Raw genomic sequence first — 9,295 nt, forward strand, 5'->3', positions numbered from 1 at the left:
CCGCCTGCTAGATACATTCTCTAGGGGTTTTGCCAGCACCTGACCCCAAAATGGAAGCTATCGCTTTCCCTTCCAAACCATTTACAGCACCAAGATCCTCCTGATGACCCAGGAACTTAACATTATATAAATATGCACCCAGTAGATTCATAAATGGCATTTTGTCTTTCTTTTTCGATCCAGTCAATCAATTCAGGATAGAATGGGATAAGAGAGGCCAGGCCACATGAAACCAGTGCAGAAAACCAATGGGGCCTGCTTGCTGGGGGCCAGGGCCCAAGGCCTCAAGAACATTGGAAGTGTGTGCCAACTTCTTTAAATGGCCTATCCCAGGGCTGCAGGGGTCCTGGCCAACCTCCCCGTGAACCGCCAATACAGCTGAGATACTGAGGCCCTGTAAGAGCCTCCCCTCCCAAGTGTCCTGTCAGACCATTTCTGAAACACGGGCCCCAAGAACCAGCCGCCCCTTTGGGTCCTGCCCTGTGGCAGCTCAGCCCACCCCGCGGAGGAAGCAGCAGAGGGCTCTCAGGCTCATCTCCGGCTGCAATGGCACATAACAGCAACATCGTGGGATGGGCACCCAGGAATCCCCTCTCACGGCTGCTCTCCTTCCCCGCTCTTCACCCCTGTGCCCTAGTTACCCGCCTGCACACACCACTCCCTCTGCCAGGAATGCCCCGCTCACTTTCCCAAATACAGAAACTCTATGCGTCCTTCACAAGCCAACTTGGAGGCTCCTTTCCTGTGATGCCTTCCCATCCCACATCACTGCTCTGGGCTCCAACACACACGCCTCTAGTGGAACACCATCCAGGTACCAAGCAGCTCATTCTTCCACCAAACGGTCAAAAACGGAAGGCAGGGACCAGACCTTGCCTTTGAACCTCACCACCTTGGGAGGCAGGGTGTGTGCTAGTTACAAACCCCAGCTTCAGGACAAAGGGCCCTGGGTTCAGATCCTGGCTCCGGCCGGCTATCCTTCGATAAGTTACCAAAGTTCTGTGTATCTTAGTTTACTCATCTATAAAATGGGTCGTCATGCAGAATCAACAAGTTGACGGAAGTCAAATGCTTACAATAGCGCCCAGCTTAGAATAAGTACTCAACCAATGCTAGTTATTCCTCCCACTCCTCAAGCCCCAGTTTCCTTCTCCTAACCGGACAATCTTCACAACCCTTTATCAGAGCTGTGTGGACGAAGTGATTCCTGAGAGTGTCTAACCCTGTCCCTGGCATTCAGTGAGTGCACGTTAGGGTTAGCTGCCATCAGCACCCCTTCCCATGCAATGGCTCACAGGGCCTGGCCACCAGCAGGCACTCAACAGTGCATGAGGCAGAACACACACGTGTGCCCAGACATCACGCTTAGAACAGACGGAAAAGAGCTATGTGAAAAAAGCGGAATACCACAGTGAATATACGATTAATTCCAACTACATGAAAACACTGACATCGAAAAAGAAAACGAAGACCTGCCTATCTGCTCTTATTGGTTGTCCTTGAGTCATGAGATCATGGGTAGTTTCAAATTGTTTTATATTTTTTTGAATTTTTGACGATAAGTATACATTACGCTTTTATAAACAAACATATACACGCTCACACCTATACACACACATGCACGGATATAAAACCATGCTAACATTTCACTCGAGTCGAAGCTCACCACCCTACCACCACCCTCCAATTTAGTATAGAGAGAAGCCCCACGGATCTGGCCTGCAAATCCACGTGCAAGACTGATCTTGCTAAGGCCCGTGGCTCGAGAGTGAAGTGGGTTCTGAGCCAATGGTGATGCTTTCTATGGTGTCCTACAAGAGGGCCAGGGAATCATGTGAACTGGTGAGAAGGACAACAATCAAATGGGGCATGTTTATCACTGTTGAAGTCCCCAGACTCAACTCTGCCAGCTGAATAAAGTTCTCTGAGGTGGTGGATGAACTCTGTCGCAGCCATGCAAATTGGAAGGTGATCAAATGCCTAGAAAAAATTTGCCCAGGCTAATGAAAACCACTAGTGCAAACTAATTAGGTAAGTTCTACCTCTCCTTTCTACTACCTGTGCTAACATAGCATGGAAGGGCCACTCTGGAGGAAGGAGGAAGGAGAACACAAGACAATAACTGAAACAACCATCTATTAAGTCCTATCTTCTGACTTCACATTACAGCTACATTGTCCACATGTGTATTAAAGAGGCAACTAAAAGTCAGAGAGTTTAAGCAACTTACCCAAAGCCCAACAGCTAATAAGTAACAGAACCAAGAGTCAGATCCAGCACTGGCAAAGACCAATCTGCCTCTCACCCCTTATCTGAACCCATGAACCCAACCAGCATCATCACCAGGCGGAAAGCACACACAAGGAGAGGCTCATGAAGGTGAAGGGAGAGAGTACTTTGAAAAGATATGGCAGAAAAGAAAATATAATGGCCAAGCACATGAGCTCTAGGGTCAGACACACGTGAATCTGGGTCCTAATACTGCCATCTTACCAGCTCTTTGAACATGGGCAGTCACATGTCCTCTGTCATCCCAAGACGCCCTGTCAGTACATGGAGACCATGTTAGAGGTGATGTGGAGACAGAATGAGACAGCATAAGGACTTTCTGCGGCACCTGGCACACAGAACCCGCCTAGGTCATGTGCATGAAAGTCCTCTGTCTGCTCTGCAGCACTGTGATGAGACTTGGTTTTTACATTCTATTGCTGCCCATTTCATTCATTCAATGGACACTTACTGCACAGCCTTAAAATATCCTCATGGCAGGCGCTATGCTAGGTTCTGGGGACAGAGATAAAGAAGATGTAGCCCCTGCCCTCTGGGGAGGTTGTCTCTGATTGTAGGAAGAAATGGTATCGGGGCTACAGGAGAAGCCCCTGAAAGCTGGGACCAGATGAGAGATCAGGCTTCTCTCTATCTGAAAATTTCTGTAAAGTTTATAATACCATTACACATAGAACAGGTTCAACAACTGCTTGCTGAATTAATTGCCCAAGCCAGGGTAGCATATAACTGAAATAAGACTTGCTGTCCTAGTAGCTGGAAGTAAAAGGTGAACCTGCTAGGGTCCCAGACCTCTATAAAATATCTCATTCTTTCAGCTCTCAGTCTAGCGTATCAGGAGTGTACAACTAAATTCAAAAACTATAATTATAGCACTATTCTTGCCTGTTGGGATGGCTTTTCTTTTCTTAAACGTGCTTCAACTGAGAGACGAACCCTGTCAAAATGGACTGTGAATGCCCGCCCACCAGGCTTCCCCATAGTCATGGCTGCAGGATGCGTCAGACACCCAGATCAGGAGGAGTGGCTTGTAATGGAGACATGAAACTAAAGAAATACCACCTGCCCAACACAACCTGGAAGGAAGAGAAGGGGGAGGAGACAAACATTTAGCATACTAGTTACTGTTACTTAAATCACCATCACCAGCCATCTAAGCTCTATGGAGTACTCCCGTAAAACAGGTACTAAGACCTGTACGTCTATTGTCTCATTAAATCCACACACTGATTCTCTGAATAGGTCCTGCTATCACACCCATTTTAGGGAAGCTACTCAGGCCATGCAGAAGTGGGTATAGCCAGGATTCAACACTCTGCTCTACAACCTACCCCTTAGTAAGTTCACTGGCTTAATCCTGAAAGCCTGTGAAATCATGCTGTAGTTCTATTTTAAGAAGTGCACTTTTTTCCTCATTTTTTTTTACAGAGACGTGACATACCAAAGACCCCAAACAACTAAGTGGGAGTTTGATTTTCAGGAGCTCCCAAGTGGCAGGCCAGACACCTTCATCCCCTCAGCCCTCCCTGAGTTCTTTATTTCCCATCCATGCTCCCGAGGCGTTGAACATGACAGGTCTCACAGAACTGATTAAAAGGCATTTCACTTTGTCTTAAGATCAGCTTATTTTGTAAACTTCTCCAGCGTGACCCTAGAAATGTGTAAAATGCTGAACCGTACCAGAAAGCCGCTGCAATTGTGTATACGGTGGGGGGGGGCAGCAAGTTGAATGACTTTTAGTCATTCAGGAATTTCAATGTCTTTCTAGGAGACACACCAGTAAATTCACTCACTGTGGTTAGTCAACATGCAGTAGAAATAATACAGGATGTGCAGTCGGAATTCAGTTCAATTCAGTGCACATGTCTGCCTCCTACACTGAGCCGTGAGCTCTCAGGACAGGGTTCATGCATTATTCATGTGCCTGCACGGTGACTGGCATGTCAATGTGATGTAAATGTTTGATTGTTGAATAATACAAAGCCAAGTGAGGTAAGTGTTATTGTAACAGAATATAAGCAAGGCAATGGACGGTAGAAGTGGCATAATTAATTCTACTTGAAGGGCTCGGGAAAGCTTTCAGGAGGTGGCAGTGGACGGAACTGCAAATGAGGGACAGACTTGGGGATGCACAGAGGACATCTGGGAGTGAGCAAAGTTCCAAATACATAAAAGTGTGTTCAAAGACAGCTGCAGCACAAGGGCTGTGGCAGAACATTCTGCACTCCCCAGGGCAGAGCCCTCGGTAGCACTCAGCCCGGTGTCCCCAGTGCCCGATACGATGGCCACCATGTAGGAAGTGCTCAGTACGGGCTGCTGAGGAGTCCAGCAAAGGCAAGAGCAGCTGGCAGCCATGAAGACAGACAGGTGAGCACCAGAGGGAGCAACCACTCCAAAAAAGAGCAGAGAGGACGATCCCTCTGCTGCCCCCGCCCTGCCCACTGCTATCACGGGACACCTTGCACCTGTTTACCATTGAGCCTCCCATTACTCTCAGAGCTCCGGGAGGACAGGGATGACTGTGGTCCTGCTCCCCAAGGCACAACACCTGAAGCACAGTGGGTACTGGGGAAATGTGCAAGAAAGAAAGGGAAGGAAAAAGGTGGGCAGCCAGCCATGGGATGGATTTCCCTGAACGCTGGGCTAAGAAACTAGGGATAGGAAAATAATTTCAACATGTTTTAGAAAGGTGACAAATGAGTTGACATTTTTATAAGGTGACAATGGCAGCAGCATCAAAGATAACAGTACCTTACAGGAGGAACTAGGATTTACCAAGCTCTAACTAATGCCAGGTACTGTATTAAGTGCCTTGCATGTAGTATAACAACCAGAAGAGCCATGGAGTGCCAGCTCCACTAGGAGGGGACAATGGTCACAGACACAAGTAACTTGGTCCAGGTCACCCAGCCAGTAGGTGGCAAAGCCAGGACTCTAACAAAAGTCCATCTGATCCTAAATATTATAACGTTGACCATCATAAGTAACTTGAAAATTGAGGGAGGCCTGACCTAGAGGCTTCCGACTAGTCTGCTGGCCTGGCTACCCGGAGCCGGCTGCTGCAGCTGTCCTCAGCTCCATCTCTACCTCTGTCCACGCCGAGATATGCAAGTGGGACTTGATGTGAAAACTGAAGCAGAGATCAGAGGAACTGAATCCTTTCCCCCGCTCCCCAAGACACTCCACTCTATGACAATACCAAGAAGTAGAAGCCACTTTTCTCCGAGACTGATTTCTAAAATTTTGCCCTGCCTTGCCGTGATTATTTTTAAGAAAAGAATTATGTAAAAATAGCCTAATAAAAGCACCTCGGAAACAGACCAGACCAGAAAGTTAGAAAGCCCAGCAGGGTGGGTAGCTCTCATATGGCACTTCAGCCAGCTCATTACCGAACCCCTCGGGTCCTGAGAATTGCACGAGTAACAGGTTTCCCTTTGTCAGCAGGAGCCAATCGTCTCCTCCCCGTCAGCGCTGCCTGTGGCCTCCCAAGGTGCTTCTCGCACTCTTGCCTTTCCCAGGTGCTCCCCATGGCCTCCCAAGGTGCTTCTTACACTCTTGCTTTCCCGGCTTCCTTCCATGTGTTATGAGCAGGCCTTATGCTGACTCTACTAAATGGCTTCTGGTTTGGATTTGCTATGGTTTTAATGAAAGTATACCTTTATTCACCCGGGGAATTGTTACATTTCACCATCCCAGAAAGTCTGAGAACAAGGGGAAAGCTAAGACAGTTTCTGAATCATCCTAGAAAAAAAACGGGGCGGGGGAAAGAAGAGAGAGAGAGGAGGGGGAGGGGGAAGGGAGAGAGAGAGAGAGCGGAGGGGGAGGGCAGGGGAGAGAGAGAGATGGACCCAGGAAATGTAGACAAAGGCACCTGACTTCCTCAAGCGGGGCATGCCTTTGCTTATTTCAAGTCAGCCTTAACAATTTGGATGTTCTGGTTTTCCAGGCCCTGGCAGACCAAGGAAGCCAAACCATCAGTCTTGGGACTGCAACTAAACAGCTACTCCTACCCCACCCACCCTGTGCTAAGCACTGTGTTAGGTCCTCCAGAGACAGGAGCGTGTGTTCTGGGATGACCACGTGAGAGAGGGACTGGATCCTGGTAAGTATCCAGACGAGAACACCAAGCCTCCAGCACTCAGTCAACTTGCTCAAGACAAGTCATAAAGCTAAACAATACGAGACGCCAAAACCCGTGTTCTCGTCATCACGCCAGCTGAACAGAGACTGTGCTGGACAACCCGAAGCGACAGAGGCAACGAGCAACAGCAACACCCACGAAAGGGAGAGGAAAACCACACAGAAACCAGGAGGGCAACAGGCCGGCCTATTCCACATACACAGAAGCAGCAGAGTGCAAGAGATTCGACGCTGCCACCCCAGGCCGCGCCCAGGCCAGTAACTGAAGAATGTTCAAAGTCCCACCTTCAGAATGCTACTATTTCCAAGCATAAGGTATGCTCAGAAGATGTCTAACCACACTGCTTATTTGTGTATTAAGTTCTGTAGCTTAAGAGTGACGTATTCAAATAACAAGCAAATCCACACACATGGGAACAGCTTATTCCCCTCTGATGCCAACCAACCAAGGTATTTATAGCTAAGAAATAAGAGAGGAAATTCACAGTGCAGAGATGATTTTTCTATAGCCACAGCACTATGGAAAGCTGAATAGCTTGGTCGTCCGATTTAATATGTGTTTGCACCTCAAAAGTGGGCCTGTTTTCCCCATCCTTCCTGTGGCACAGAACTGGGTGTCTGAAGGGGCTCTGCAGAATCCTACACAGTAATATGCTGCAGGAATAACAAGAGAGCCATCGATTAACAGTGGAACATCTGTCACCAATTTCTTTCCCCTGTGAAATTTCATTTCAGAAATAATAGTCATTATTTAAATGCTAGCATTTAGGTAAGGGCTATCAGGTGAAATTGGTTACTTTACGTTGATAATAACAGAGGAATTACTGCCGCTGTGAACTTGAGACATGTAAGAAGCCATTAATATTAGCTCCTAACTCCAGGGATGCTGTGGTACAACATTCATGAGAAAAGCAATAAAGAGAATCTCGCCTCAAAACATTTATGAATTTTTAATTATAACAATACGGAGCCATCATTTTTTGTTAAAATATTAAACAGAAGAATGAAGAAATTAAGCGGTGTGAACGTGCATTTATGTATACAGGTATGTATATGTTTCTATTTGTATCACACTCATATACACATATCTGTGAACATTTCTGGAAAAGCTAATATAGTCAATGTTTCTTAATTTCAGCTTTATTACAATGAAATCTATGACTAAGCAAAAGCAAGAGTTCACCTCTTTCACAATCTACACATAAAAACTTGCTTACAAGTGGCCAGGCATGGTGGGTCACGCCTGTAATACAGGACTTTGGGAGGCTGAGGCGGACAGAGTATTTGGGCTTAGGAGTTCAAGACCAGCCTGGCCAACATGGTGAAACTCTGCCTCTACTAAAAATACAAAAGAAAAAAATTAGCCGGGTGTGGTGGCTCATACCTGGAGTCCCAGCTACTTGGAACGCTAAGGCAGGAGAATCGCTTAAACCTGGGAGGTGGAGGTTGCAGTGAGCCGAGGTTGTACCACTGCACTCCAGCCTGGGCGACAGAGTGAGACTCTGTCTAACAAGACAAAAAAAAAAAAAACTTGCTTACACGTGAATTCAAACTAGAAGAATTACATGACATCGCTAGACCCTCCTTGTCCAGAAATGGGGTGGGTTATAAACTCATCTCTGTGGCCGGGTGCAGTGGCTCATGCCTGTAATCCCAGCACTTTGGGAGGCCAAGGCGGGTGGATTACGAGGTCAGGAGACAGAGACTATCCTGGCTAACATGGTGCAAACCCATCTCTACTAAAAAATACAAAAACATTAGCCGGGCGTGGTGGTGGGTGCCTGTAGTCCCAGCTACTCGGGAGGCTGAGGCAGGAGAATGGTGTGAACCCGGGAGGCGGAGCTTGCAGTGAGCCGAGATCGCGCCACTGCACTCCAGCCTGGGCGACAGAGCGAGACTCCATCTCAACAACAACAAAAAAAAACCCACTCATCTCTGTGTTAGGAATTTGTGAACACAGGGACACACTCACCCCATAAAAGCCCCAACGACAGTCTAGACCCCTGAGAGACCCACAAAGGTCTGTCTGACCCTTAATATCATGGATCTTTACCATAAACTTAAAATGCAGGGGATTTTAAAGGGAGTCTGTAATAGTAAGAATTAAAATAAGTCAGGAAAGCGAAGATGAGAGGAGAAAACAAAGCAAGAAACTTCTTTATCTGAAGATTGATGTCTGAAGAAAAAGCGGTTTATTCTGAGGGAGTGAAGATGTGTGCAGAGACTAGAGGGGGCCCCTCATGGGACTCTTGGTGCCTCCCAGGTGTCAGGGATGGAAGGAAAAGGAAAAGGGGAAGGACAATTTGTAGGGTCCACAGGCAGGCTCCTGCAGGCACCAGGCACCGGCATGCAAACGTGGTCTGCAGAAATGATGCACACACCAAGAACAACTGCTATCTGTAAAGCAAACAAGCTCGACGTTGTCCCAAGAGCTTTCCCCATCCTGCGTTAACATTTCACGCTCACCACAACCCTATGCAGCGGGTAAGAGTGTCAATACTACGTAAGCACTCACTATGCGGCAAGCATTGCTCTTAGTTCTTAGCTGCTAAGGATGCAGCAGTGAAATAAACAGACGACCACCACCGCCCACCCAAAAAGACCTCTTACACTTGGTGTGATTATTTCATCAGAAAAAACTCCATGAAGTACCACTCACCTGGTATGTGGAGAGCGCTAAGAGTAAAAGCTATTCTTTTGGGGTTTTTCGTTGTTGTTGTTGTTGTTGTTTGAGATGGAGTCTCACTCTGTCACCCAGGCTGCAGTGCAATGGCACGATCTCAGCTCACAGCAACCTCTGCCTCCTGGGTTCAAGCGATTCTCCTGCCTCAGCCTCTCAAGTAGCTGGGATTACAGGTGCCCACCACCA

General features: G+C 47.4%; 1 protein-coding gene across 18 annotated transcripts in view, besides 1 other annotated feature; it reads right to left on the reverse strand.

Moving 5' to 3' along the window:
* TRAPPC9 (trafficking protein particle complex subunit 9) overlaps window positions 1-9,295 on the reverse strand; it is a 730,855-nt gene that overhangs the window by 530,803 nt on the left and 190,757 nt on the right. The window lies entirely within an intron of this gene.
* Window positions 6,105-6,928: an enhancer, noted in NCBI's record as "H3K27ac-H3K4me1 hESC enhancer chr8:141274731-141275554 (GRCh37/hg19 assembly coordinates)". NCBI's record gives its function as "activates a minimal SCP1, AML or CMV promoter by ChIP-STARR-seq in primed H9 embryonic stem cells {active_cell/tissue: H9 hESC(primed)}" and the evidence as "EXISTENCE:reporter gene assay evidence [ECO:0000049][PMID:30033119]".

Source organism: Homo sapiens, chromosome 8, assembly GCF_000001405.40.
Source record: "Homo sapiens chromosome 8, GRCh38.p14 Primary Assembly".
In the NCBI taxonomy this organism is placed as follows: Eukaryota; Metazoa; Chordata; class Mammalia; order Primates; family Hominidae; genus Homo; species Homo sapiens.